The sequence below is a fragment of the Homo sapiens genome, chromosome 2, assembly GCF_000001405.40.
Source record: "Homo sapiens chromosome 2, GRCh38.p14 Primary Assembly".
NCBI classification, from domain to species: domain Eukaryota; kingdom Metazoa; phylum Chordata; class Mammalia; order Primates; family Hominidae; genus Homo; species Homo sapiens.
Genome location: NC_000002.12, coordinates 10056008 through 10083694, shown reverse-complemented (window position 1 = coordinate 10083694; position 27687 = coordinate 10056008). Strand labels below are relative to the sequence as shown.

The 27687-nt window shown below is 52.5% G+C and overlaps 1 protein-coding gene across 1 annotated transcript, besides 14 other annotated features; it reads left to right on the top strand.

Annotated features, from left to right (window-relative positions):
- Positions 666-725: an enhancer, noted in NCBI's record as "active region_15296". NCBI's record gives its function as "activates an Ori minimal core promoter by ATAC-STARR-seq in GM12878 lymphoblastoid cells {active_cell/tissue: GM12878}" and the evidence as "EXISTENCE:reporter gene assay evidence [ECO:0000049][PMID:35858748]".
- Positions 2970-3209: a silencer, noted in NCBI's record as "silent region_11157". NCBI's record gives its function as "represses an Ori minimal core promoter by ATAC-STARR-seq in GM12878 lymphoblastoid cells {active_cell/tissue: GM12878}" and the evidence as "EXISTENCE:reporter gene assay evidence [ECO:0000049][PMID:35858748]".
- Positions 3284-27222, top strand: CYS1 (cystin 1). The gene is made up of 3 exons (NM_001037160.3): positions 3284-3789; positions 17739-17791; positions 24737-27222. Exons 1-3 carry the CDS (start codon positions 3472-3474, stop codon positions 24840-24842), a joined length of 477 nt encoding a protein of 158 aa, NP_001032237.1. The 5' UTR covers positions 3284-3471; the 3' UTR covers positions 24843-27222.
- Positions 3380-3439: a silencer, noted in NCBI's record as "silent region_11156". NCBI's record gives its function as "represses an Ori minimal core promoter by ATAC-STARR-seq in GM12878 lymphoblastoid cells {active_cell/tissue: GM12878}" and the evidence as "EXISTENCE:reporter gene assay evidence [ECO:0000049][PMID:35858748]".
- Positions 3500-3739: a silencer, noted in NCBI's record as "silent region_11155". NCBI's record gives its function as "represses an Ori minimal core promoter by ATAC-STARR-seq in GM12878 lymphoblastoid cells {active_cell/tissue: GM12878}" and the evidence as "EXISTENCE:reporter gene assay evidence [ECO:0000049][PMID:35858748]".
- Positions 3810-4149: a silencer, noted in NCBI's record as "silent region_11154". NCBI's record gives its function as "represses an Ori minimal core promoter by ATAC-STARR-seq in GM12878 lymphoblastoid cells {active_cell/tissue: GM12878}" and the evidence as "EXISTENCE:reporter gene assay evidence [ECO:0000049][PMID:35858748]".
- Positions 11904-12405: an enhancer, noted in NCBI's record as "H3K4me1 hESC enhancer chr2:10211417-10211918 (GRCh37/hg19 assembly coordinates)". NCBI's record gives its function as "activates a minimal SCP1, AML or CMV promoter by ChIP-STARR-seq in naive and primed H9 embryonic stem cells {active_cell/tissue: H9 hESC(naive and primed)}" and the evidence as "EXISTENCE:reporter gene assay evidence [ECO:0000049][PMID:30033119]".
- Positions 17276-18153: an enhancer, noted in NCBI's record as "H3K4me1 hESC enhancer chr2:10205669-10206546 (GRCh37/hg19 assembly coordinates)". NCBI's record gives its function as "activates a minimal SCP1, AML or CMV promoter by ChIP-STARR-seq in naive H9 embryonic stem cells {active_cell/tissue: H9 hESC(naive)}" and the evidence as "EXISTENCE:reporter gene assay evidence [ECO:0000049][PMID:30033119]".
- Positions 18154-19032: an enhancer, noted in NCBI's record as "H3K4me1 hESC enhancer chr2:10204790-10205668 (GRCh37/hg19 assembly coordinates)". NCBI's record gives its function as "activates a minimal SCP1, AML or CMV promoter by ChIP-STARR-seq in naive H9 embryonic stem cells {active_cell/tissue: H9 hESC(naive)}" and the evidence as "EXISTENCE:reporter gene assay evidence [ECO:0000049][PMID:30033119]".
- Positions 19284-19881: an enhancer, noted in NCBI's record as "H3K4me1 hESC enhancer chr2:10203941-10204538 (GRCh37/hg19 assembly coordinates)". NCBI's record gives its function as "activates a minimal SCP1, AML or CMV promoter by ChIP-STARR-seq in naive H9 embryonic stem cells {active_cell/tissue: H9 hESC(naive)}" and the evidence as "EXISTENCE:reporter gene assay evidence [ECO:0000049][PMID:30033119]".
- Positions 19882-20480: an enhancer, noted in NCBI's record as "H3K4me1 hESC enhancer chr2:10203342-10203940 (GRCh37/hg19 assembly coordinates)". NCBI's record gives its function as "activates a minimal SCP1, AML or CMV promoter by ChIP-STARR-seq in naive H9 embryonic stem cells {active_cell/tissue: H9 hESC(naive)}" and the evidence as "EXISTENCE:reporter gene assay evidence [ECO:0000049][PMID:30033119]".
- Positions 21637-22497: an enhancer, noted in NCBI's record as "H3K4me1 hESC enhancer chr2:10201325-10202185 (GRCh37/hg19 assembly coordinates)". NCBI's record gives its function as "activates a minimal SCP1, AML or CMV promoter by ChIP-STARR-seq in naive H9 embryonic stem cells {active_cell/tissue: H9 hESC(naive)}" and the evidence as "EXISTENCE:reporter gene assay evidence [ECO:0000049][PMID:30033119]".
- Positions 22498-23360: an enhancer, noted in NCBI's record as "H3K4me1 hESC enhancer chr2:10200462-10201324 (GRCh37/hg19 assembly coordinates)". NCBI's record gives its function as "activates a minimal SCP1, AML or CMV promoter by ChIP-STARR-seq in naive and primed H9 embryonic stem cells {active_cell/tissue: H9 hESC(naive and primed)}" and the evidence as "EXISTENCE:reporter gene assay evidence [ECO:0000049][PMID:30033119]".
- Positions 24219-25161: an enhancer, noted in NCBI's record as "H3K27ac-H3K4me1 hESC enhancer chr2:10198661-10199603 (GRCh37/hg19 assembly coordinates)". NCBI's record gives its function as "activates a minimal SCP1, AML or CMV promoter by ChIP-STARR-seq in naive H9 embryonic stem cells {active_cell/tissue: H9 hESC(naive)}" and the evidence as "EXISTENCE:reporter gene assay evidence [ECO:0000049][PMID:30033119]".
- Positions 25162-26105: an enhancer, noted in NCBI's record as "H3K27ac-H3K4me1 hESC enhancer chr2:10197717-10198660 (GRCh37/hg19 assembly coordinates)". NCBI's record gives its function as "activates a minimal SCP1, AML or CMV promoter by ChIP-STARR-seq in naive H9 embryonic stem cells {active_cell/tissue: H9 hESC(naive)}" and the evidence as "EXISTENCE:reporter gene assay evidence [ECO:0000049][PMID:30033119]".

The window sequence follows — 27687 nt, the reverse complement described above, 5'->3', positions numbered from 1 at the left end:
CAACTGTAGTCCTCTTCCAGGGTTTAATTTGTTTAAGGAAAGGAAGTTCTATTTTCCCAGAGTTAAGCAGAGAGTTCCCAAACTGGGCTTCACCTTCCACCCACCATCACCAGCACCCACGAGCACTATCACCGCATAAAAGAATCCTTCAGCTGCAGGTGTGACTGCCAGATATTTTCTTAAGAAGGATTACACCCCATTTCAGTTCTCCAATATTCCTGAGACGTTGCTAACTCTTTCGGACAAAAATTCTAGAGACGATCTTAGGGACATTAGTCATGCGGAAAGCTTTTAGGTTGTTTGCTTATTATGGGAAGCTTCTAATAAAATCAATCTGAGTTTTCAGCATATTTGATGGAAGCCAGGTCTACAAATGTAGCAGATTTTAAAATGTTCTCTCAAAGTGGAAAGAATGCTGGCTCTGGCATTCCTCCCGCTGAAGCGGAGCTAATGACAAGTTTTGGGAAACAGTGTTGGAATCAAGAGTGGCCAGAAAAATTGGTTGCCCTGGGAGGTGAACACAGGGAGCTGTGGATGTATTTAAACATGAGTCACATGACTAGCTTCTATTTAGGCAGAAGCAAAACATGTTTTCCTTTAAATCATTAAACTGAGTGAACTCAAGAAAAATCTCGTTTGCCTCTAAGTGTTGTTGTTCTTTGGGGTTTAAAGAGTTTCAAGATGAGATTTGTTTTCTTAAAAACTTATATCAATAGCTTCCAAACGAGACACATCTGTAGACTTAGCGCACCCAAATGACATCTGTGTTTGGCCCCACATCCTACACCTGGATGGTTAAGATGGCACATCAAAAAAAAGGGGGGGAGAGGCCAGGCACGGTAGCTTACGCCTGTAATCCCAGCACTTAGGGAGGCCAAGGCAGGTGGATTACCTGAGGTCAGGAGTTCAAAACCAGCCTGGCGAACATGGTGAAACCCTGTCTCTACTAAAAATACAAAAATTAGCCGGATGTGGTGGTGCGTGCCTGTAATCCCAGCTGCTCAGGAGCCTGAAGCAGAAGAATCACTTGAACCCGGGAGGCGGAGGTTGCAGTGAGCAGAGATCCGGCCACTGCACTACAGCCTGTGCAACAGAGCGAGACTCCGTCTCAAAAAAAAGGCAGGGGGGATCATAAATACTTCCCTTTAAAAAATTTTTTTTCTTTTCTTTTTGCTTTTTCTTTATTGTTTGTTGTTGTTGTTGTTTGTTTTGTTTTTTTTTTTTTTTGAGACGGAGTCTCTTTGGTTGCCCAGGCTGGAGTACAGTGGTGCGATCTCGGCTCACTGCAACCTCCGCCTAACGGGTTCAAGTGACTCCTGCCTCAGGCTCCCGAGCAGCTAGGACTACAGGTGCCCTTCACCATGCCCGGCTAATTTTTGTATTTGTAGTAGAGACAGGGTTTCATCCTATTGGCCAGGCTGGTCTCGAACTCCTGACCTGAAGTGATCCGCTCGCATCAGCCTCCTAAAGTGCTGGGATTACAGCCTCATTTTTTTTCTCTTCTTTTTCTTTTCCCTCTCTGTCTCACCTCTCTTCTCTCTCTCTTTTCTTTTCTTTCTTTCTTTTTTTTTTTTTGAGACAGAGTCCAGCTCTGTTGCCCAGGCTGGAGTGCAGTGGCGTGATCTCGGCTCACTGCAACCTCCACCTCCTGGGTTCAAGTGAGCATGCCCAGCTAATTTTTGTATTTTTAGTAGAGACAGTTTCACCATGTTGGCCAGGCTGGTCTCAAACTCCTCACCTAAAGTGATCTGCTCGCCTCAACCTCTGAAAGTGTTGGGATTACAGGCATGAGCCACCACGTCCAGCTAGATTATAAATACTTTCTTGTTCTTTTTTTTTTTTTTTTTTTTGAGACGAGCCTCACTCTGTCGCCCAGGCTGGAGTGCAGTGGCGCGATCTCGGCTCACTGCAACCTCCACCTCCCGGGTTCACGCCATTCTCCTGCCTCAGTCTCCTGAGTAGCTGGGACTACAGGCGCCCGCCACCACGCCCGGCTAATTTTTTGTATTTTTAGTAGAGACGGTGTTTCACCGTGTTAGCCAGGATGGTCTCGGTCTCTTGACCTCGTGATCCACCTGCCTCGGCTTCCCAAAGTGCTGGGATTACGGGCGTGAGCCACCGCGCCCGGCCTCTTGTTCTCTCTTAATAATAAAAATAAATGGATGTGAATCTGAGTCCCATTTTTATTCCATTTTCTTAGGCATATGTTTTTTAATGTCTACTCCTGAAGTGATAAAATAGTAGAATTTCAAGTCTGTGGTTGGGAAAGTTTAGCCGAAATTCCATTTTCACAATTATTCTGGAATCCAATCAATCAGGATAAAAGTTAATGTCAAGTCAAGATAGGTGAGTTAAACCCAGGACTTTTGAATTGCCCTGTCTTGGAAAGGCTGGAATTTAAAGTTGCAGGAGGTGGGCAAGGGAAGGAAGTAATCACATTTAAGTAAAACACAGAACCAACCAACAGGAAGGCTCGCTGGGTTTGAATTCGGCAGCTTTGGAGTGTTTTCTAGTCTGGGTTGTGGTTAGTTCACTTAAAAAGAAAAGCGGTTAAGGGAAAAAAAAAAAAAATCCGAGACCAAAAGCTAGACTTATGACCACCACCTAGGTATTTCCTTTTGCTTCTTTCCTGTGGCGGGGGGAGGGCGAGGTGGGGGTTGCTTTGCCTTTCTCCTTCATTTTCAAAGTTTTTCTTTCCCAAAAGTAGTGACTATTTGGAGGTTTTGATGAGGCTCAACCTTCACACATCCAGTCTCCGCTGGGGCAACAGAGGGAAGGAGAAGGCCGGAGGGGGCTGTTGGTGCCCGGAGGATCGCCCCTTCCCTCCCGGGGCGTCTCAGGCCTGGCGGACACTGAAAGGTCGGGGCGCACTGACGGCCGGACCTCGCGAACGCAGCGCGCGCAGCCCTCAGGGTCTTTCCCCCGCCCACCCCGCGCATCGCTAGGGGGCTCAGGCTTTGGGAAGTCCCCCCAAGCTCCCGCGGCCTCCCACGGGCCCGGCGAGCGTCGTCTGGGGAGCGTTTCCATAAATGAACAAACTCAGCCGGGCCCCCCGCAGGGTTCAGCAATTCCAGAAGGCCGGGACAGGGCTGACCCGACGGCGGGGAGCGAGGGGACCCGTGGGCGGGAGTGGGGGGACTGTAGGGGGAGACCCGGGAGGGGAGGCCGCGCCCGCACCCGGTGCTCCTCGCCGGGGTCTCGGGCCCGCCCCTCCCTAGGGCCGGTGTGCGCCCCCTCGGGACGCCTATGCAGCCCTGCCTCGCCCGCCCCTCCCCAGGCTCCGGCTCGCACCCCCGTCCTCCGGCCGCGACCCCCGCCCGGGAACCCTAGCCCCTGGCCGCGGTCGCTTCCCGGACCTCGCCCCGCGCCTCCCCCTGCAGCCCGCCCCGGCCGCACCCCCTAGCGTCCCCGCCCCCGGCCGCGCCCCCTCATGGGGGCCCCCTCGGCGGTCCGGGAGGCGGCGGGCGCGCCATGGGCAGCGGCAGCAGCCGGAGCAGCCGGACTCTGAGGCGGCGGCGCAGCCCCGAGAGCCTCCCCGCGGGGCCCGGAGCGGCAGCCCTGGAGGGCGGGACCCGCCGGCGGGTGCCGGTGGCGGCGGCCGAGGTCCCGGGGGCAGCCGCGGAGGAGGCGCCCGGCCGCGACCCCAGCCCCGTGGCGCCCCCCGACGGCAGGGACGAGACGCTGCGCCTGCTGGACGAGCTGCTGGCCGAGTCGGCGGCCTGGGGCCCCCCGGAGCCCGCCCCGCGCCGCCCAGCCCGGCTCCGACCCACCGCGGTCGCGGGGAGCGCGGTGAGTGTGGGAGCCGCAGGGCCTCGGGGGACGGCGGGGACCCCACTCACCGGCCGCGCGTCCCCGCCCCAGCCCTGGGCGCCGGTCGCGCTGCGCCCCCTTCCAGCCTCCGACTTGCGTGCTCCCCGCTGCCCCGGCCTCCCCGCCCCTGGGCCCCCAGGTTTCCTCCCTCTCTGCCCCGTCTCCGGGTCTGTGTCCAGGCGTGGGGGCGATCGCGCTGGGAGCGGCCGAGGAAGGACACCCCTAGGCGGAGCGCGCCGGGCTCCCGGCTCCCCTCGGGCCCGCGGCCCCGCCTGGCCTTCCCGGGCCGCCCTGGAGCGGGGCGCCGGCGGTGGTGGCACGGCAGCCAGACGGTGGCTCAGAAGCGCCCTGCCGCGCCCACCGGTCCAGATCCTTGCCTTGCTGGGCAGGCAATTCTCATGTTACTGATATTTTTAGGATGCTGCGGAATCTCTTTTGCGCTTCCTATTCTCTCTCCCTGAATACTCGTAATAACAGTCCTGCTGTTCTAAAAAAACAATAAAACAAGCACTCTGGTTTGGCAACCGTCTTCGCTCCAGCAGAGCTGAATGAACAAGATCTTTAACATCCGCTCCCGGGCTCGGGGAGGATGCCAAGGGCCTCGTCCTCCTCCCTGAGGCCCGGGAGGCTTTGCTTAGCAGCCGCTGGGAGCCGAGGAAGATGCCTTCCTGGGTGGCTACCGCACCAAGGAATCCTGAAAAGGCCCCAGGGAGGGTGGGGGAGAGGGACAGCCCCAGGCGACAGTGCACAGAGCTCTCTCCCTCTGGCCCTGGTTCCCTGCTCCTCTCCCTTACGGTCTTTAAAGAGGAAAAGCGAGCTGCAGTGAGTAGGGCTGAATTATATAACAAGATTCCTTTAATACCACATCAGCCTGCAGTTATATAACACTGCCTGGACAAATAGCTGAGAAATTTGGGAGGAATTCACACATAGCAAGGAGGCAGTTAATTTTAGTGTTCATTTTCAAGTGCTTTGGAAACTCGGAGGTGAAAATGAGAGGCAAATAGCAAGAGTGAATGTTGTGCCCTCTGATTTGCTGATATTATTCATCATGGTGACTGCTCGCTCTTTAAGTCATTTTCCAGCTATCCTTTGAGCACCGGTCCCGCTGTGGGTGCTAGGGATGAGGCCACACAGCATAGCCCTTGCCTTAAAGAAGTCTGCAGCTCGATGGGGGAAAGTAGAAAGCAGGGCGATGAGAGATCCGTATCAAAAGGCCACAGGAGAAAGCGGCTAATCCCAAGGGAGGCAGGTAGGCATTCCCGAAGGGATGAATTTGGAAGTTGTCCTGAATCTGGAAGGGTCTGTGGACGTGATCCAGGCAGCAAGTTCTGTGCAGAGAGAACCTCATGCCTAATGTCACTGGTGGCTGGGGCAGCTGGTGCCCAGGGCATGGGTCAGAGAGGTCTTAGGAGAGTATGCCAGGCTGCAGTGCGCCATGCCAAGGGTATTCCATGTTAGCGAGTTTGGGTTACTATGAAAGTTCTGGGTATCTGAAAGGTAAGGATTGTGACAGTTTGTGTTTTAGGAACGTCACACCGACAACTGTAGGGAGGATGAACTGGACAGAGTCAGACTAGGGATAACATGACCACCTGTGTGAGTGGGTGGGGGAGTCTGCAATGATCCAGGTGGCCGAGTCCTGAACCAAGGCAGTGGCGGTGAGAGGCTTGCAGAGGAGATGGTTTCAGGAATTGTTGAGGAGGTCAGCCAGCTGCAGTTGCCCTTCTGGGTGTGAACTGTGTGTATCTTTTTTCTTTCTTTCTTTTTTTTTTTTTTGAAACGGAGTTTCACTCTGTTGCCCAGGCTAGAGTCCAGTGGTGTGATCCCGGCTCACTGCAACCTGTGCCTCCCAGGTTCAAGCGATTCTCTTGCCTCAGCCTTCTGAGTATCTGGGATTACAGGTGCCTGCCACCACGCCCAATTTTTGTATTTTTAGAAGAGACGGGGTTTTGCCATGATGGCCAGGCTGGTTTCAAACTCCTGACCTCAGGTGACCCGCCCACCTTGGTCTCCGAAAGTGCTGGGATTATAGGCATGAGCCACCTCACCCAGCCGACTGTATGTATTTTCTGCACCATAAATATTTCTTGAATAAATGAATCCTAGAATCACAGATTATTCGAGGCGGAAGGGAGCCCTTGGGTCCAATTCATTATTTTCAGATAACGCCTGCATACTACAGATGTGCGCCACCACGGCCAGCTAATTTTTGTATTTTTAGCAGAAACAGGGTTTCACCATGTTGGCCAGGCTGGTCTTGAACTCCTGACCTCAGGTGATTCACCCGCCTTGACTTCCCAAAGTGCTGGGATTACAGGTGTGAGCCACTGCACCCGGCCAATAACACTACTTTTAGTTTCTTTAGGAAGAAAGGAGGAAAAGAAACCTTTAATAGCTTCATAACTGTCTAGCATTTTGGAGGAGAGACATATTCTTCATAAAAGAACATCAAACTCAAGTGAAAGTTATTCTTTTAAGCACTCACATTTAAAAATTTTGACCACTGTTGACTGGGAATGTCTTAGAGATGGTCTGTTTATCCCTGAATCATCATTCTGAATATTATGTTTTGTTTTTGTTTTTGTTTTTTGAGACAGAGTCTCGCTGGAGTGAAGAAAGGGGGAGTGAGGTGGCAGGCACAGAAGCTGGGGTTGTGCTGGGGGAGGGGAGCTTCTGCAGTCATCCAAGTGAGATGTGGGGTCATTTGGACCAGGTTGGCGGGCGGTGGTGAGGGGCGGTTGGCTTATGGACTCACTAGTGGGGTGACTGGGATGTGTGAGAAAGAAAGGAATCAAAGGTGAACCAGGAGTTCTTGGCCAGAGCAGCTGGAGGGATGTAGCTGCCGTGAACAGACACAGAAAATGTGGAAGGGGCAGGTTTGGGGTGTCATTAACCAGGAAGTTGGTTTTCAGTATGTTAAATTTGAGATGCCTGTCAGACATCCAAACAGAAATGTCAAGTGAGTAGATCTTTGTAAGAGTTTGGCATTCAGGGGAGAGGTCAGGTTTGGAGTTCGTTTAGAAGCCATTAGAACATGGGAGGATTTAAACCCATGAGATTAGATGGGATCACCAGTGACGATGCTGCCAGCGTGTGCTTAGGAAGCATGGATGGGCACCGGGCTCTGTCCTGGGAGCTTCGTGTATGTGAACTAACGTGGGACGAGGCCAGGGGTTGAGCACGCTGTTCAAAGGTTGAGGAGATAGAGGCATCCTAAAGAACAGCCAGTAAAGGGGAGAAAACCAAGAGAACATCCGGAAGCCAAGGGAGGAAGGTGCTTAGGACGGAGGGCGTGCTCAGCTGCTGGAAGTGCTGCTTGGTGGGATATATGCGGGAAGCCTGAGAGCTGGTGGTTGAATTGAGCCACTCGGGAGGTCTCAAGGTCCTTGGTGAGAGATGGGTCAGAGAGTGGTGGGAGGCGCCTTGGGCTGGAGTTCATGGAGAATAGGACACAAGGAGGGCGGTGCAGTCAGCTCTTGTAGGAAGGCTCTTTTTACAGCGCAGCAGTAGTGGATGGCGGTAGGGATGGTGCTGCTGGACCTGGAATTCACCAGAAAATCTTAGTCCCAGAATGGGCTGGATAAGAGGAGGTTTTGAGCATTAGATGCCCTCGTGAAATTTGAAGGAACCCTTGGAGAAGAAATTTTGGTTTAATCAAGTAGACATAGATTCAGTATTTTAATTTTAATTTTTATTTTATTTTTGAGATGGAATCTTGGTCTGTCGCCCAGGCTGGAGTGCATCGGCTCACTGCAACCTCTGCCTCCAGGATTCAAGCAATTCTCCTGTCTCAGCATCCCGAGTAGCTGGGACTATAGGAGCATGCCACCACGCCTGGCTAATTTTTTTGTATTTTTAGTAGAGATGGGGTTTCACTATATTAGTCAGGCTGTTCTTGAACTCCTGACCTCAGGTGGTCCCCCTGCCTTGGCCTCCCAAAGTGCTGGGATTACAGGTGTAAGTCACTGTGCCTAGCCAGATTCAGTATTTTTATTAGCAGGTGGTAATTCAGATTGTTTTCCTCCCTCTGCCTATAAACCTGGGTCACTCAAGGTCAAGGGAAGTACGTTATCTGAGAATTTTTCTGTTTTGCAAGAGAGTCTCGGGCAATAGTGTCCTCTCCTTAGGCTGAGGGACTCTGTCATCCACCATTTTTGGAAAGGTTCCATTTGCTGTAGCCATGGAGCATCCGGATAATTCTTTCTTGCCTGTTACCCCAGCCAGGACTTTACAGTAATCTTGGCATGCAGCTGCTATGGAACTCACGGTGTAAAGAGAGCAGTCACAGTGAGTGCCTGGCGGGACAGCACCTCCACAGAAGGACGTCAAGGTGATGGGTAACTTAATGGACTTGCAGCAAAACAAAGTCACTGTCCTGAAGACGGTGACTATCTGCCTGCGTTCAAGTCTGTAGCAAAGAACACAAATTTAAATGGCAATGAGTGATATTTCAATTGATCCAGGGGACAAGAAGAAAGGATGGTGCGGACCCCCAAAAAGCTCATAACCGTGTTGGGAAGGGGTGCGTAAATGCACGTTTGCAAGTTCCCGTGGAAGCATGTTGTAAAGGCATGCTCCAGTGCGTCTGCACACGTGGAGGCGTGGGAATCCCACCCGAGGCAGAAGTCTTCCAGTGGATCTGGTGTCTGAGTTGGTTCTAAAGGATCACTAATGTGTTCCAGCGGTTGACAAAGGGTGGAGCTTTCCATAAAGAGGAAACAATGTGTAGAAAACTCCAGAGGTCCAGAAGCGATTTTTTTTTTTTTTTGAGATGGAGTCTCACTCTATCTTGCCCAGGCTGGAGTGCAGTGGCGCATTCTCGGCTCACTGCAGCCTCCGCCTCCCGGGTTCCAGCAATTCTCCTGTCTCAGCCTCCTGAGTAGCTGGGACTACAGGCATGTGCCACCATGCCCAGGTAATTTTTGTATTTTTAGTAGAGACGGGGTTTCGCCATGTTGGCCAGGCTGGTCTCAAACTTCTGACCTCAAGTGATCCATCCGCCTCAGCCTCCCAAAGTGCTGGGATTATAGGCATGAGCGACCGCACCTGGCCCAGAAGTGCTTTTGAACAGCCTGGAGTTTATGTGCCATTCAGCCAGGTGATGTCGGAGAGCAGAAACCAATGAGACGGGTTTGGGTCACATTTTCACAGGATTCCAAGCTAAGAGGTTGAACTGTCCTGTAGGCAGTGGGGAGCTAGGCGAAGTTTTCTGTGTTTCATTATTTTTAAATGTTTATTTTAAAAATTAGAAGAGGTAATACACAGGCACATGAGGGGACATTGAAAACATGCATTGCAAAGAAAATTTCCCTTCCTCCCAACTCTTTCCCCAGCTCCCCTCTCCAGAGACAAGCAGCTTCTCAGTTTCTTGTGTGTCTTCCCAGCCTGTGTAATAGAAGGATCCACAGTGGCGGGGGAGGTTGTACTGGGGGAGACTGCATGGGGGCAGGAGCCCAGGTAAGGGAGGAATCCAGGTGAGAGGTGGAGGAGGAGGTGAGGTGAGCCACTGAGTTTGACAAGCAAGGGAAAGTGAGTTTCTAGAAAGACTCCAAGATTCCCTGCTTGTGTAGTTGAGAAGATTCAGAATGCTATTAACAGGATGGGCCTAGTTTTGTACAAGTTGAGTTTTGAGTCCTAGGTGGATAATTTCCGTGGGCTGTCCGAAATTCCTGTCAACTGCGAAAAGTGGTTGGAGCTGGAGCTGTCATTTCGTGGACATCAGCATTTGGATAGTGGCTGATGCCATACCAGAGTACAGTTGCTGAGGGAGAGCGTGTGGATGGGTGGGGAAGGATGCCAAGCCTGGAACATGAACATCAAAAACTGAAGGAAGAATTGTCCTCTCTGGAGTTCTATAAAAAGAGTAGGATTAAAAGATGTTAGAAGCCCAGTGCCTCGACCCGGGGGAGGAGCGGGCAGCCTCAGAGGCTCTCTCCCTTCATGGTCCCTGGCTGCTGGCTGCTGTAGGTGATTAGAAGCCTGGTTGCATCACGGTCAGGGGTACAGCCTCACATTTCCTGCCCTGCTGAGAGGCTGTGGTGGCTGCTGCTGAGTACTGGGCACGGCAGGGTGTAGAAATGCCGTGGAAAGGAGGATGTCGGCTCATGCACTCTTCGAGAGATGCTGACCAAGAGCTCTTAACCTTGGAGCTTTGAGTCCCATAGGGCTGGGGCAGACCCTAACTAGACTCTGGGAAGGAGGGTCAGAGCAGTGGTTTGTGCACAACACAGGCCCTTCTGCCCCTAAATGCCGTGAGCCCATTACCCAGCAGGGAAAGCAGCCCCCTGCCCAAGGCCACCCATTCCGATTCCCACCAAGCTCTGTTTCTTGATAGTATATGGCCAGACAGCTGTCATTTCTTTCTATTGCTGAAATCCGAGATGACTTGAGCTTAAGGGACCTCACAGATGGTTCAGTCCCACCTTCTTATTTACATCGGAGGACTTTGGGGCCCAGCAAGGAGTGGGAGGGTGCCTGTTTGCAGGTCAGGCCAACCGCAATCCACACCCTGTTAGCACGGACAAGTCTCTCAGACCCTGAGTCCAGTGACAGCCTCTCTGGGTCTCCCTTGCCTTTTTCCCTGTGGCTTTGGAAACACCTCCTTCAAGGCAAGGCCTTCCCAGTGGAGACGGGCCCTGGACTGGCAGCCCACAGCCGGGGGGGGGGGGGGGGCGGTTCCCAGAGCCCCTTGTCACGTCCTTGTCATGTTAGCCATGCAAGACAGGTCTCATCGCAGAGCCCACCTGCACCGCTGCCCCCCAGAGCCCATCTGCACCACTCCCACACAGCCAGCCTGCACCGCCCCCCCATGCAGAGCCCACCTGCACTGCTCCCACACATCTGCTCTGCTCCCACACATCTGCTCTGCTCCCACACATCTGCACTGCTCCCACACATCTGCTCTGCTCCCACACATCTGCACTGCTCCCCCGCGCAGACCCCACCTGCGCCATCCCCCCCTACGCAGAGCCCACCCGCACCACTCTCCGACTCACAGCCTGCCTGCACCGCTCCCCCACCGCTCCTCCACCTGCACTGCTCAGCTTCTGCTGCCTGCAAAGCCCTACAGTGGAGCTTCCCCAGGGCACTGGGATCTTGGCCTCTGTGTGGGGAGAACAGTGCCCTCTGGTGGTGAGCAACAGAACGAGACTAGCAAAATTGTGAAAGCTGGGTCAGGTCCAGGAGAGCCGTTGTAGGAGTTTCTCTACTGTACATGTTCAAGTTTCCTTAAGAAAACCGAAAAGCCAAACAAACCAAACCTGGGCTTCAAAGAAGGATAATTCTGAAAGAGGAAGGGGGAAGTGTATCCATACTATGGAATAAAAGGAATGGAATTGTTCTGCCAATTACACATATAACTGGTGTATGTACATACATACATATTAAGCTGCTAAAAATTAAGAGTTAATGGAAGAACTCTTTCAGGAGAAGAAATCCACTGTATATTTTATTTTGGGTAAATATGCAGTGGATTTTCTAAAAAGTAACCTTTGGGCCGGGCACGGGCACGGTGGCTCACGCCTATAATCCCAGCACTTTGGGAGGCCGAGGCAGGCGGATCACCTGAGGTCAGGAGTTCGAGACCAACCTGGCCAACATGGTGAAACCCCAGCTCTACTAAAAATACAAAAATTAGCCAGGTGTGGTGGCGGATGCCTGTAATCCCAGCTACTCAGGAGGCTGAGGCAGGGGAATCACTTGAACCCAGGAGCAGAGGTTGCAGTGAGCTGAGATCCCACCATTGCACTCCAGCCTGGGCGACAAGAGCGAAACTCTGTCTCAAAAAAAAAAAAAGTAACCTTTGAAACTTTAATTTTCACGAAAACTTTAGTTTTAAGAGTCAAAAACTTTAAGAGATGATCTTATTCGCTTCATTCTCATATGTTTTCTGCTTCTTGTTTAGCTGTGGTTTGGTCTTTCCAAAGCCCCCCTAGAATCTCAAGGGATGACACACACCCCTCGCACGCACACAAACATACACATACAAACAGGGCGCACACACACACTGGTCCTGAACTCAGCTCAGTTCCCAGGGCCCCAGCCCAGGTGCTGCCGGTTCCCCACGTCCGTCCAGGTGTCTCAGTGATCTGCAGGTGGAGGCAGCCCCCTGGAGGAGCCCCTGTCTGCAGGAGGCTGGAGCCACCATCTGGGGCTGCTGTGTCTTTGCTTTTCATACCAGCTCCTCCTGGCTGCTTCAGCAAGCTTGTGTGTTCTGGGAGTCTCATGCTTTTTCCATCTGAGAAAGTAAGTTCAAGGCTTAAACAAATTGGCCAGATAAAGGGCCACGCAATAAAATCTCAGGCACAGAGAAAAACACAGGTGAAAACAACAGAAACAGCAAGGCTGAGCCATTGGGGAAATTGCTTCCTCCTGCGTCCGCTCTGGGGGGCCGTTCACGCACTGGATGGCATTCCATCCTTAAGGCTGCCCTGAAGCTGCAGTGTCTTCATGTTAGTGAGCAGTGCAAAGTCAGGTCCCTACGCCAGGCATTCCAAGCCCCCTGCCGCAAGGGTCCCGCTGCCCTTTCAGAAGGGCAGCAGCAGGCAGCTCAGTGTCCACCCTGACAGGCCCTGGGCTTGGCTGGATGTCCTGCCTTAGCTTTAAGAGGTTCTCAGAGCCGGGCACGGTGGCTCACGCCTGTAATCCCCGCACTTTGGGAGGCCGAGGCCGGTGGACGGCCTGAGGTCAAAAGTTCGAGACTAGCGTGGCCAACATAGTGAAACCCCGTATCTACTAAAAATACAAAAAATTAGTTGGGCGTGGTGGCGGGCACCTGTAATCCCAGCTACTCGGGAGGCTGAGGCAGGAGAATCGCTTGAACCTGGGAGGCAGAGGTTGCAGTGAGCCGAATCACGCCACTGCACTCCAGCCTGGATGACAGAGCGAGACTCCGTCTCAAAACAAAACAAACAAACAAACAAAAAGGGTTCTCAGGCTGGGCGTGGTGGCTCACCATGCCTGTAATCCCAGCACTTTTTAGGAGGCCGAGGTGGGGGGATCGCTTGAGCTCAGGAGTACAAGACCAGCCTGGGCAACATAGGGAGACTTCGTCTCTACAAAAAGTACAAGAATTAGCCTTGTGTGGTGGCATGTGCCTGTAGTTTCAGTTACTCAGGAGGCTGAGATGGGACCGTTGCTTGAGCCCAGGAGTTGAGGCTGCAGCGAGCTATGATCAGGCCACCGCACTCCAGCCTGGGCAACAGAACAAGACCCTGTCTCGAATAAATAAATAAATATGCCAGGCGCAGTGGCTCACACCTGTAATCCCAGCACTTTGGGAGGCTGAAGCGAGTGGATCACTTGAGGTCAGGAGTTCAAGACCAGCCTGGCCAACATGGCAAAACCCCACCTCTACTAAAAATACAAAAATTAGCCAGGTGTGGTGGCATACATCTGTAATCCCAGCTACTCTGGAGGCTGAGACAGGAGAATCACTTGAACCCTGGAGGCAGAGGTTGCAGTGAGCCGAGATCACGCCACTGCACTCCAGCCTGGATGACAGAGCAAGACTCCATCTCAAAAAAAGTGAAAAATAAAAATAAAACAGGTTCTCCATCTCAGCACGGGGACCGCAGCGATAGAGGTCAAGGCAAAGCCACACCCATCAGAGGGTACTGGGCCAGGCTGGGAGAACCCTGGGGAGCTCCTTGGCATTGAACCAAGTACACCAAGGCCCGGAAGGTGAGGAGACGGGAGCATGAAGACGCTGTTGTCGCGATCCCTTCTTACCCTTGCCCTCCCCCTCCTCACCTGCTGAGCGTTCACAGTGACCCTAGAAATAGAAGTGCGTGACTTCAGGGTGTGTGTTTGGCCTTGATTTTGAATTCTAAGAAGGGGGCATGAGCTGTTGGATCACCCAGCCTCTGTCTGGCTTCAGTGACAGGCATCTCACTGCCTCCTGGGGCAGCCTTTCCCTCACAGGCAGCTCTGACTTAGTCCTCTGTGTTGAACACAACCCACCTCCCTTTAGTGGGGACACACTGAGCCCCTGGGACAGGCAGAAGAAGTGTGGCCTGTTTCCACATGAGCTCTTCAGATATTTGGAGCAGCTACTCTGATCGCTCAATTTATGTCATGGGAACTTTGGACACTGACAGGTTGCTTTCTGGCCTTATTACACATTATCCAAAGTTTCCTCTGCCTTGCATTCCATTAGGCTCATGAAACCTCTATCTTCTATGATTAAAAAAAAAATTTTTTTTAAATATTTTTTTCGGCCAGGCGCAGTGGCTCACACCTGTTATCCCAGCATCTTGGGAGGCTGAGGCAGGTGGATCATGAGGTCAAGAGATCGAGACCATCCTGGCCAACATGGTGAAACCCTGTCTCTGCTAAAAATACAAAAATTGGCTGGGCGTGGTGGCACGCACCTGTGGTCCCAGCTACTCGGGAGTCTGAGGCAGGAGAATCGCTTGAACTCAGGAGGCTGAGGTTGCAGTCAGCCAAGATTGTGCCACTGCACTCCAGCCTGGTGACAGAGCAAGATTCCGTCGCAAAAAACAACAACAACAACAAAATAAAAATAATTAATTTTTTTTCCTCCAGAAAGGGTAATAGGAGATAAACTCTAAGTCTTTGTATGTCTGAAAATATCTTCATTTTCTTAATACCTGATTAATAGTTTATTTGGAATTAAAATTCTGAGTTCAAAATAGCTTTCCCTTATACCTTTGCAGCCATTATAACAGTGGATTCCAGTGTCACTGATGAGCAGGTGAGGCCACCTGACTCTTGGCTTTTTGTAGGTGGCCTGTCTCCGCCTGCTCATCCCTTCCTGGAGACTTTTATTTATTTTTTAAAATTTAATTTTTTTTTTTTCTGAGACAGAGCCTCGCTCTGTCACCCAGGCTGGAGTGCAGTGGTGCAGTCTCAGCTCACTGCAACCTCTGCTTCCTGGGTTCAAGCAATTCTCCTGCCTCAGCCTCCCCAGTAGCTGGGATTAGAGGTGCCCGCCACCACACCCTGCTAGTTTTTGTGTTTTTAGTAGAGATGGGGTTTCACCACATTGGCCAGGCTGGTCTGGAACTCCTGACCTCAGGCGATCCACCCGCCTCGGCCTCCCAAAGTGTTGGTAGCCACCACGCCTAGCTGGTTCATCTTGATTATTCTTTCATGTGCCCTCCCCCTTTAAATGTTTGTGAGTCGTTTTATGACCATTTATATTTATGAACCAAAAACTGGTTGACTAGCACATGCAGTTGGAGTGGGTTTCTTTGTAATCGTGTACACCTATTTACCCAAAAGTTTTTTCCTTTGAACAGAAAGATCTTGCAAGCTCTAGGAAGTTGTAAGCTCAACCCAGGCACCTCTTATGTTTGCAGCCTAAATTCTCATCACCTGGTGGTCCAAAATACTTGAAAGTATAGATTTAATTTGAAGTGGTTTCAGACCAGGGATGCCTGCTATGTGCCTGACAAAAGCAAATGCATCCCCTCTCTGGAGGAAGGCCTCTTAGGCCTCAAAGAATACCCAGAGGGAATTTTTCAATGATGACAAGCTGCCAATGACAAAAAATAATCAACTCCCCAAAGAACCAAGTGAAGACTTAGAAGAAACAAGAAACAAAAATATACCAATGAAGATCTTAGTTACTAGGATCACCAGACACAGACTATAATCAGCTACGTTTATTATGTTTAAAGAAAACACCTGCAAAGGACAAGGACTATAGAAAGTGACCTAGAAGATGTGAAAAAGAACCAAATAGGACATCTGGAAATGGAAAATATAATAAGCAAAATGAAAGATATCAATGGTATAAGTTTAACAGATTAGACAGAGATGAAGAGAGGATCAGTGAGATGGAGAGAGGGAGATAGAAATGACCCAGAACACAGCATAGAGAGACAAGGACCTGATACAAGATAGCTGGAGAAGAAACTACAGCAAATATCATATTCAGTCATGATGTGATGGAAACTTTTTCTTTCAATAAAGGATTAAGATAGAGATGACTGTCATCATCACTTCCTTTTACTGTACTACTGGAGGTCCCAGCCAGTGCAGAAAGGTTAGGGGAAAAATGTATAAGGACCAGAAAGGGAAAAATCAAATGGCCATTATTCCCAGATCATGTGAATGGGAAATAAGAAAATCCAAAGGAAGCCATAAATTACTGGAATTAATAAGAGAATTCAGTAAGACTGCTAAGCACAAGATAAATTCATATATCTCTGACCAGGCCCAGTGGCTCACACCTGTAATCCCTACACTTTGGGAAGCTGAGATGGGAGGATTGTTTGAGTCCAGGAGTTTAAGACCAGCCAGGGCAACACAGTGAGACCCCATCTCTACAAAAAATGAAAAATTAGCTCTTCATGGTGGCACGAGCCTGTAGTCCCAGCTACACGAGAGGCTGACATGGGAGGGTTGCTTGAGCCTGGGAGGTGGAGGCTGCAGTGAACTATGATCAGGCCACTGCACTCCAGTCTGGGCAACACAGCAAGACCCTGTCTCAAAAAAAAAAAAAAAAAAAGAAAAGAATTTTTTTAAAATGTATATATCTCAGTCATTTCTGAAGCATCAAGCAAGTAGAAAATTTTATTTTAAAAAGATAACATTGCTGGCTGGGCACAGTGGCTCACGCCTGTAATCCCAGCACTTTGGGAGGCTGAGGTGGGCAGATCACCTGAGAGGTGAGGAGTTCGAGACCAGCCTGGCCAACATGGGAAAACTCCATCTCTACTAAAAATACAAAAATTAGCTGCGTGTGGTGGCGGGCACCTGTAATCCCAGCTACTCAGGAGGCTGAGGCAGGAGAATCACTTGAATCCGGGAGGCAGAGGTTGCAGTGAGCTGAGATCGCACCATTGCACTCCAGCCTGGGCAACAAGAGCAAAACTCTGTCTCAAAAATAAATAAATAAAATAAAAAGAGATATCCATGGTATCTCTATAGGGAAAATGATAACTTCTTAGAAGACACTAAAGGAGTCCTAAATGAATAGATATTCCCTATTTATAAATTTGAAGACTCATTATTGTAAAGCTATAAGTCCCCCTAAAATGATCTATAGTTTAATACAACCCTAGAAAAATCCCCAAGGTTTTTTTCCCCCAAATATGACAAGCTGATTATAATACATGTATAGATGGTCCCTGATTTTGATGATTCAACATAGGATTTTTCCACTTTGCAATGTTTTCTTCGGGCCGTAACCCCATTGTAAGCTGAGCAGCACCTGTACGTGGAAGTGCCAATAGCCAAGAATCACCAAGACTCTCTTGGAAAAAGAAAGAAGCTGGGAAGACATGCTTTAGCGGACAGCCAGGCTTGCCTGATGCCAGGAATGAGACAGGGTGGTTCTGGCACTGCACGGGTAGACAAGTGGACTGTCGGACCATAGAATCCACGGCAGCCACATGCTGTGTAGACACGTCCTGGCCTTATGAAGAGAAAGCACTTCAGTGGGGGAGGGAGAGGGTTCTGGGCAATGTTTAGAGTGGGGTCGGGGTCGCGTGGTTCCTGGAGGTGACATACGGGGTGTCCTCGTGCTAGGTGGCAGTGGGTCCCAAGATCCCTGGAGGTGACACACGGGGTGCCCTCGTGCTAGGTGGCGGTGGGTCCCAAGATCCCTGGAGGTGACACACGGGGTGCCCTCGTGCTAGGTGGCAGTGGGTCACATGACCCCTGGGGGTGAGAGACAACCCTCACATGGGTGGCCGTCTGGGAGGCAGCAAGTCTGGCCCTGGCTCTGCCACTTGCTCTGTGTGTGAGCTTTCCAAGTCGCTTTCTTTTTGCAGCCTCCGTTTTCTTGCCTGTGCAATGAGTGGATGGAACTTGACAGCTCGAGAGCCTTTCCGCTCCGAGGCTTATGGATCCTGGGTTGAAAGTGGTGGCCATCGTCTGTCCACACAAAGCCAAAGCCTTAGGCAGGCTGCACTGTTGACAATCTTTGAATGTCTCTTCATTTCATCTTTCTCAAGGTGTGCGCAGAGCAGAGCACAGAGGGCCACCCGGGGAGCGGCAATGTCTCTGAGTAAGTACCAGGGAGGCACATCTCTCCCAGAAGCCACGGGTTCTTTTTGTTGACTCCAGCCAGCCTCAGAGCCCTCCTGTCCCCCACTTTCCTCCAGGTCCTCACGAGGTTTCCAGAGGCAGCTCCCTCTAAATGCAAAGCCCTAGCCCTCAAGGGAAGGTCCTGCCAAGGAGATTGCAGAAGGCTAACCATCTCACCGCAGCTTTGCTCTTCCTCCTAAAAAAGGTCGTGACCTGGATCAGACCAGGGCATGCCCAACCCATTTCCTATTTGTGCTGTAACTCATTCAAAAATATTCAGGTGCCATGCTGTGCGCTGTGGCCAGATCTAGGAACAAGACACAGCCCTTAAGGAACTCGCAGCCCAGGGCCAGCAGCGGGCCCACCTGCAGCTCCACAGCACGTTACCAGGGAACCACGCTGAACACCCTTGAAGGTAGCAGGCGAGGAGCCTGGGCTCATTTCCTCCTTTAAAATCCCCCAACCCCAGAGCCCAGGCCTTGTCTGTCTGCTCCAGGGATGTCTTTCCACCCCAGGCCGGTCACCCCCTTGGCTTGCTGACCTCCAGCTAATGTGGCAAGGGGTCACTGGGAGTGGGTGATTGTCAGGTAAGATTGTGGGAGTGAAAAAGTTTGGAAATGTTAGCCATTGTCCTTAATTACAAATGATTTCAGGACAGGAACCCTGCTGAACTCGCTTATTTAACAGACACTGGGAGGTCCTACCCTGAGCCCCACAGCGGTGCTGAGGGCTGCAGTGCAGGGGCCGGGTCTGAGGCCCAGCCCGGGAGGGGCATGGTCTCGGGAAATGCAAGCAGCGAGCTCCAGGGGAGGTCAGAACTGGTGTTTAAGATGGCTTGAAGGGGCCGGACCCAGTGGCTCACGCCTATAATCCCAGCAATTTGGGAGGCCTAGGCAGGCGGATCACTTGAGGTCAGGAGTTCAAGAGCAGCCTGGCCAACATGGTGAAACCCTGTCTCTACTAAAAAAATACCAAAAAAAAAAAAAACAAAAACAAAAATTAGCCGGGCACAGTGGTGCGCACCTGTAATCCCAGCTACTCCGGGGGCTAAGGCAGGAGAATCACTTGAACCCGGGAGGTGGAGGTTGCAGTGAGCCAAGATCGCGCCACTTCACTCCAGCCTGGGTGACAGAGGGAGACTCTGTCTCAGAAAAAAATAAATAAATAAATAAAAATATAAAAATAATATGGCTTGAAGGACGTACAGGAGTTCGCCGAGGAGAGAGGAAGGAAAGAGGCTCCTGGGACACTGTGTGGACAGGTGGGGGTGGTAGGAGGGAATTGGGGAGGGAGGATTAAAGTGTTGGGAGGGCCTTGAATGCTGAGTGGAAACTGCTGGCCATTGCTTCCCAGTAGAATGCTGTGGCCGGCTCTGGGCAATGTTAGAAGCTGCTGCAGAGGGGGAGGTAGTGAGGAGTGAGGATGATGCCCACGCAGCTCTGCCCCTGCACTGTCAGCAGGGACTTTAGAGTTTCCATCAGCCCAAGGAATTTAGGATTAAATCCTACCATGAACTAATTAGCTATTACTTCTTCTGACTTCTACACGTGCACATTCCAGGACACCCCTGACATATCCGTTACTACCACTCACCAGTGGTACTTCACTCATTCAGTATACTTATTTATTTATTTATTTTTATTTTATTTTTTATTTTTTTGAGGTAGAGTTTTGCTCTTGTCATCCAGGCTGGAGTGCACTGGTACGATCTCGGCTCACCGCAGTCTCCACCACCCGGGTTCAAGCAATTCTCCTGCCTCAGCCTCCCAAGTAGCTGGGATTACAGGCACGAGCCACCCTGTCCGGCTAATTTTTGTATTTTTTGTAGAGACAGGGTTTCGCCAAGTTGGCCAGGCTGGTCTCAAACTCCTGGCCTCAGGTGATCCGCCCACCTTGGCCTCCCAAAGTGCTGGGATTATGGGCGTGAGCCACTGCACCCAGCCTTTTCATTCAGTATACTTTAATGGGAGCCTCCCTGAGTGCTGCCCTAGGCGTAGGAGTGCCCAGGGCTCTGTCAGCCCCTCCAGCACCGTGCTTCCACCAGGAAGGAAGCCCCAGGTCCCAGCAGTCCTGCCCCAGGGTCAGGGCTGGCAGCATCTGCCCTGTACCCACTGTGCTTCTCGCTGCCCACGGCACACACCTGACTCCCGTGGCAGCCGTGGACCCTGCAGGCCAGTCTCAGCCCCCCAGCGTGCAGCTCTTGGGTACCAGTGCCTCACCCTGTGGCTGCAACAGTGTCCCGCCCTTCAATCTCCTCCCTCCAGTGTCACCCTCACCCTCCCAGGCAGGGTCCTTCCAATGGTGTTTCAGGGTGGAGGTGCTAATGTCTGCAGCTGACTCTGGGATGCATCAGAAAATCAGATGAAGAAGTAAATAAGTACGTGATAAAGTAAATATAGCAAAGTTGAACTTAATTGTTGAATCTACAAATTTTAACTTTTCAGTATGTTTGAAATTTTTCATAATAAAATATCGAAGAAGAAACCCTTCAAAGCACAGTTTAAACATCTCCCCCTCATACTCTATCCCCTTCCTGGTCAAACTAGTGTCCCTCCTCCCGCATGGTGCAACTTCCCAGCCCCTCCCACATGTGGCCTCTCCTGTAGTAGGTCCACGTGATGTGGTCCTGCCCTGTCCCCTCTCTTCTCTCCAGGCCTCATCACAGAAGGAATCAGATTCGCCTCTGGGCCCTCATAGCTCCAGGCACATGGTAGCATTTCATAGACGCTTATTGACAGGATTGTTTAATGTCAGCCTGGGGCGTGTGGGCCTTGACCCCAGTCCTGACCATCCTGACAACGCCAGGTCCTTCCCCCGGGAGGGCCCTGCGGAAGCAGCAGAGGGAAGCAGCCATGCGGGAGGAAGTCGCTGCTTCCCTGAGCTTTTGGCTGGGCCATCCTGACCTGAAGTCTGTAAGGAAGGGCTAGTGGAAGCCCAGGGGCTCATGGAGGGGAACATAGGGGTTCTAGAAACTTCTGTCTGCAGCTGCTGCTGAAATTCACTTACTGTTCATTCTGCAAATGCTTGTTGAGTACCCACTGTAAGCCAGGCCTTGGGCCAGACACATTACGGTATTGGTGAGAGAGGTTACTCCTCCCCATTTTCCTAGTGAGTAAACTGAGATCCAAGGCAGTATTTCCCCAGGTTGGAGAGGCGGCAGATTCTAGAAAATTCTAGACCCAGCCAGGCGCAGTGGCTCATACCTATAATCCCAGCACTTTGGGAGGCTGAGGTGGGCAGATCACCTGAGGTCAAGAGTTCAAGAGCAGCCTGGCCAACATGGTGAAACCCCATCTCTACTAAAAATACATAAAAATTAGTCGGGAGTGGTGGCACGTGCCTGTATTCCCAGGTACTTGGGAGGCTGAGACAGGAGAATCCCTTGCACCCATGATGGGGAGGTTGCAATGAGCCGAGATCGCAGAGTGCGCCACTGCACTCCAGCCTGGGTGACAGAGCAAAACTCCATCTCAAAAAAAAAAGAAAAAAAGAGAAAATTCTAGACCCAGTAGAATAACACAAATGTTCTTGCCTCATTTAACATGTGGGTTTCTGAGGCCCAATTACAATGGATTTGTTCTCTCTGGAGAAGCGTATTGGTTTCTTTTCTTGGAGTGATTTTCCTTGGAAAGGTCTTTTTCTTTTAAGAAATTTGTGACTTTCAGCCTGGGTAACATAGGGAGACCTCGTCTCCACAAAAGTACCAAAATTAGCCAGGCGTGGTGGCACATGCCTGGGGTCCCAGCTGCTCAGGAGACTGAGGTGGGAGGATGGCTTGAGCCTGAGAAGTGGAGGATATGGTGAGCCGTGATCCTGCCACTGCATTTCAGCCTGGGTGACAAAGCAAGATCCTGTCTAAAAAAAAAAAAAGCATGACTTTAGGAGTCCCTGCTGATGGAAAACCTGACAGTAAATGAGAATTTAAACAAAAATTCATTTCTTGACTCCCTCAAGAGTGGTGAGACTTCCCAAGAATCCCTTTAGGATCAATTTTTCCCTTTTATCTGTGTGCCCCCACCCAAGCAGGGGAAAGAAAGAGCTTATGGCCCCACCTGGCTCTCTAAGCCCCACAAATTGCCCCACGGTGTTGGTGGAGTGTTGCCAGGCAGACAGGGCAGGGGTGGCTGTGGAGCCCAGTGGAGCCTGACCTCTCACAGACCCAGGACTGCCTACCGTCCTACTCACCCTAGCCCCAGGGCTGCCCGTCAGCTTCCCTTGCGCCAGTCCCTGCTCTCCTTTCTCCCCAAGATTCCACCTACAGGGCATGTCGGGTGCTGAGTGAGACAGGACGAGTGAGGAGAATGGCTGTGTGAATCTGGACAGCCACCTCCCCCAGGGCTCAGCTTCACATCCACAGGCAAGCAGGGGGCTGCCTGGTGAGCCCAGAGGGGCTTTTATTCCTGTGGGGGTCCCCAGGTCCAGAAGTGCTGCTTGGGATTCCTGTTGGCCAGGAGATCCTGTTGCCCTTGAGGGTGTCTGGGCGTCCCGTGCCCATTTCTCTTCTTCCCAACAATCCTCAGGGGAGGTGAGCCCAGGAGGATGGTGGGAAACAGGAAGGGCAGTGGCCGGGTCTCTCCTCTGTACTGGGTGCTTTGCTGGTCCCTTACTCTGCCTTTTTGTTTGTTTGTTTGGTTGGTTGGTTTTTCTTTTTTGAGATAGGGTCTTGTTCTGTCGTCCAGGCTGGAGTGCAGTGGTGCAATTTCAGCTCATTGCAAACTCCACTTCCCAGGCTCAAGTGATTCTCCAGCCTCAGCCTCCTGAGTAGCTGGGACTACAGGCGCATGCCACCATGTCCGGCTAATTTTTGTACTCTTTGTAGAGATGGGGTTTCACCATGTTGGCCAGGCTGGTCTCGAACTCCTGAGCTCAAAGCAATCCACCTGCCTCGGCCTCCCAAAGTGCTGGGGATTATAGGCATGAGCCACTGCGCCGGGCCAGGCATGAGCCACTGCGAAACTAACAGCATCGCAGCGACTTCTGTTGAGTGCTTCCTTAGTGCCCAGCTCTGTGGTAGACACACCGCAGATGGCGCCTGGTCCAGCCCTCAGGCTGGACTCGTGGAGTAGCTGCTGGGTTTTATCCACAGGGGCGTGAGGCCTGGTACATGCCTTGCCCACAGCCACACAGCGACTGCGTGGCAGAGCCAGGTGAGATCTGCCTGGCTCCAGAACGTCTGCATTTCCACTGTGTCTCAGGGCTGCAAGGAACACATATTGCCTTCAGTGCTTTCACAGACAGGCAGTGTGCCAAGAGCCCTGCAGGCGTCAACAGTGACCACGCAGCTGTTTCTGCGCACTGGCCGCGGGCAGTGCTAATAAGTATAGTCCCTGGAGCCAGCTGGTCAATAGGGGCATGACGTCTCCGGGACAGGGGAGGAGTGTGTCCCCTGGACGCCTGGAGGCCCTCTGCTAGATGCCGATCCTTCCTGGGGGATGAAGTCAAGTGGCTGTGCCAGGAGCCCAGCTCTTGCCCTGAGTTCCCAGAGAGCCAGACGGGGACCCGGAGGCTGTGCTCTGAGCATCAGTGGGAGTAGTCAGAGGGACATTTAAGTCCATCCAGCCCAGCCCCCCAAGCTCGCAGAGGGGGAACCAGGCCGGGAAATGGGGGGCGGCTAGCCCTAATGTCTGGCAAGTGGCAAAGCAGTTGGCGGTGTTCCCATTGCCCAGAGTCCCTGGCTGGCCACTGGGAGGGCAGCATCCAACACCTGGCTGTGGGCAGCTGGCCTGCCTCTCCTGGACCCTGTCAGCTGCAGACCTGCACACCCCCTTCCGAGGCAGCATCTCCAGGAGGCAGCACCCAGCCTGACCGAGGCTTCATGCCCTGCCCTGGGCTCCCGGGACTGCCTCCTGCAAAGGTCTGCACATTTCGACACAACCGTGGCAGGTCCGGGGGCAGTCAGCACCACCCAGGTGTCCACACAAAGTCCAGAAGGTCTGGGAGAGCAGGACAAGCCAGCAGGGTCCAGGCTGGCGCAGCCGCTTTCTGGAACCCAGGCAGCAGGAGCAGGAGCTCTGGTCTCGGTCCCTCTCAGCTGGGCTGCCAGGTGGGCTGAGGGACTGGCGGGATCCTGAACGTGTGGTTCCCCACAATGAGCAGCTCCTGTGAGACCCCAGAGGGTACAAGCACGGACCGATGTCGGCAAGCAGCCAACATGACAGTAATTCCCTTTTATTTTTTATTTATTTTTTTTGAGACAGAGTCTTACTTTGTCACTCAGGCTGGAGTGCAGAGGCTCATTCTTGGCTCACTGCAACCTCCACTTCCTGGGTTCAAGCCATTCTGCCTCAGCCTCCTGAGTAGCTGGGATTATAGGCACCCGTCACCCCACCCGGATAATTTTTGTATTTTTAGTAGAGATGAGATTTCACCACGTTGGCCAGGCTGGTCTCGAATTCCTGACCTCAAGTGATCTGCCCACCTGGGCCTCCCAAAGTGCTAGGATTGCAGGCATGAGCCACTGCGCCTGGCCGTGATTCCCATTGATTAAGGCTGTGGTGTGCTCGATTCCACATCACATGCTGCCCATGCATTATCTTATGCTTCAGAACGACTCATGAATAAAGTTACGTGCTTGAGAAAAAACACCGAGGCTCGGAGACACACTGGCCTTGCCTGAGGCGCGCGGGTGAGCCGCAGAGCTGGGATTCAAGCTCGGTCTTCCCACCCCAGAGCCCGTCCTCCCTCAACCAGGGCAGGTGCTGGCTTCCACTCTGCGAGGGCTCAGCGTTGTGGGAGATGAAGCGGACGCAGTAGAAGCCTGCTGGTGGATATGTGCTGGGCGAGAGCGCCACAGGGTGTCCCAGGGCAAAGACTTCGGTTTGGGTTTCAGGATGGGCCCACTAGGAGCCATTGTGGTGGCCAGGGGAAATGAGTGTGAACGCACCATCCTGCCTCCTGACAGCCCTGTCCCATTTCTGACCCACAGAGCCCCAGGCAGCGGTCGCAAGAAGCCCGAGAGGCCGGCAGCCATCTCCTACGACCACTCGGAAGAGGGGCTGATGGCGAGCATCGAGCGGGAGTACTGCCGCTGAGGACAGCATGCTCCACCCCCGCCAGGCCTCGGAGGCACCTGCTGGCTGGGGCACCCTCTGCTTGCACAGAGCTCTAGCAGGAGCTGAACCACCTCCAAAACGCAGTCACTCCCGGATATTCAAAGCTGCCCTTTCAAATCCACTTTCAGACCGCGCTGACCTGGGCCAGCCACTGGCGGTCATGGTTGCTGGTGGGGGCGATTAGCTGTGTAGACCCACAGGTGCGTGGGCCTGGGCCGCCGGCGCCTCCTCCCCAACGCGGGGAGCCTGCCCAGTTCTTCTGGAGCCTGAAATGCGTGCCCCTCTTGGTTGCCCGCTCTCCACAGTGGGGAGGGCTCACGAGGACTAGGTGACACAAGCGAGCCCCTCCTGGCATCCGCGCCACAACACTTCCGGAAGGTTCTGCTGTGGAAGGTGCACCCGCGCTGCTCCCTCAGTCTCGGGCCCATCTCTCCAGGGGTGGCCGGGTCAGCTTAGTGCTTCTCAACTTTAACTCCCTAATGAGCAGCCTGGGGGTGCTGTTGACTTGCAGGGCCTGAGGTTCTGTACGTCTAACCAGCTCCCAGCCCAGGCCCGAGCTCCGAAGCCCCAACTGCACTTTGAGGAGCGAGAACCCCAGCTCTGATCTGCCTTGCAGTGGGAGGTAGAGCTCGTCACTGCCTCTCTGGGCCTCAGTTTCCCTCTCTGGAAAATCAGCTCTGGCAGCTCTTGGAGGCCCTCCCCAGCTCTGACAATCTGGAACTGCTGCCACTGCTGGTCCCCTGCCCCAGGCACAGCAGTGCCTTCCCTGCGGGGAGCCAGCGCCCAGGTCCAACCGGGAGAGGGTCTGCCTGATACTGGCTTTCCAGTTCTCCCTCTCACAGGCAGCCTGGCCAGTGCCTGCGGGGCTTTTAAATTCTCTTCCTGCCTGGGTGGAAGGTGGGAAACCACAGCAGTGAGGCAGGAAGAGCCTTGGAATGTTCCTGGTTGACAGATGGGAAAACTGACCTGCCCAGGACGCCCTGGGAACAGGGGGCGGAGCTCCGGCTAGAGGGGACTCCTGTGTGGGCGGGCAGGTCTGGAGCCTGGGCCCAGGTGTGGCCTGCTGGGGGACAGCTCCGGGGGAGAGCTGTGGGGAGAACAGCGGTCTAGGGAGGCAGGAGGCAGGCGGCAGGCTCCTCCCCAGCAGCCTGCAGGGCATCAGGACAGAGGGGGAAGGAGGAGACAGAAGGGAAAGAAGGAGATAGAGGGGGAAGGAGGAAACAGCGCGGCTTCTGCTGAAGCCAGTACAAGCCTGGTTATCTGGCTTGACCCGCCCACACGGAGGCCTCCCCAGCGTTTTCTTTTTCCCGAGAAGAGCTCCAGCTCGCAGGTCCTTAGAACACAGCAGAGCAGGAGCATCTCAGGAACCAACGGCCAGCTCCTTGGCGCTGTCCCCAGCCCCACAGGCCTGCTGCGGCCATCCGCAAACGGGCATTTCCTTGAACTTTTGAGAGTGCCTTTGACCAGCTGTTCGCAGCTGGGAAACTCCAACTTTTGAAGTCAGAGCTTGGAGCGGCCCCCGCAAGGGCGTGGCTCAAACCCTCCCCAGAGCTGGGAGCCATTGCTTATGCAAGCCCGTTTCTTTTGATGTAAAGATGGAAGTCGTTACTATATTTTAATAATGCAAATACATCTTTTAAAATAAGTTAACATTTCTTACCACCAGATGGATCAGGCTTTGAATTTAAACATGTAAATGTTTGTAATTTTATGTCATTTTGTTAAAATGGGACGCTTTCAATTGGTTTCCAAGAAAGATGATACCTCTGCATTTTCTGGTGGAAAAGGTGTAATACCCTTAATGAGATCAAAGTGTTAGGGGAAAAAAATTCCAAAAGTAGTTACAAGCTATATCAATGTCAAAGTAAATGCACTTCATCAAAGCTAAGAAGTCACAGGAATTGTTCTCAGGTTTTTAAAAAAATTTTTCCTGAATTCAGGAAGTGTCTTCTGAATAGCAGCTAGCCAAATAAAGCGGTGTGTGTGTACTGCAGCTGTAGGTGAACTTAAAAATAATAATAAAAAGAACAAATAAAGCAGTGTGTACCAGCCGCTGAGCCGGCCCTGTCTCTGTCCTGTGAGACGGAGGGGCTGTGCCTGGAAGTAGAGGGGTGGGCGTTGCTGCAGCCTGCAGCCCGGCCCGAGTCTGTCCCAGTGCCTCCTGTGTGCCTGGCACCTCCTCAGGCATCTTCCTGGCTGCCCCATGTTGCAGCTGAGCCTCAGCGTCCTGCTAGAACTGCGTGTGGGATTTGCTCACTGCCAGGATGGGACTGTGGCTGGAATGGAGGCAGAAAGAAACACATCTCAAAGGCAAAAATGACGCACGTTGTTGTCTGGAAAAATCTTAAGTGACCACAAATGTGTCTCCCGGTTTCTTTTTTAGTTTTCTTGAGACAGAGTCTCACTCTATTGCCCAGGCTGGAGTGCAGTGGCGCGATCTCAGCTCCCTGCACCCTCCGCCTCCCAGGTTCAAGCAATTCTCCTGCCTCAGCCTCCCGAGTAGCTGGGATTACAGGCATGCGCCACCACACCTGGCTAATTTTTTTGTATTTTTAGTAGAGACGGGAGGGTTCACCATATTGGCCAGGCTGGTCTCGAACTCCTGACCTTGTGATCCGCCCGCCTCTGCCTCCCAAAGTGTTGGGAATACAGGCGTGAGGCACCACACCCGGCCATGTGTCTCTGGTTTCTGTAGTATGAGAGTTCCTCGAAGATGCTACAAAGCCGCAGGAACTGAGGAAACACTGTCCACCCCTGGCTCTGAGAAATGCTGGGTGTGTTTTCTTAGGGAAGGAGCAGAGTCCTGCTGTTGCCCTCCTCCTGA

Bases quoted from the DNA above. Each gene is read 5' to 3' on its own strand.
- CYS1 (NM_001037160.3), top strand. From the start codon at position 3,472: ATGGGCAGCGGCAGCAGCCGGAGCAGCCGGACTCTGAGGCGGCGGCGC. The intron at 3,790-17,738 runs GTGAGTGTGGGA...ATCTTTCTCAAG, and splicing joins CCGCGGTCGCGGGGAGCGCG to GTGTGCGCAGAGCAGAGCAC. The intron at 17,792-24,736 runs GTAAGTACCAGG...TCTGACCCACAG, and splicing joins GGGAGCGGCAATGTCTCTGA to AGCCCCAGGCAGCGGTCGCA.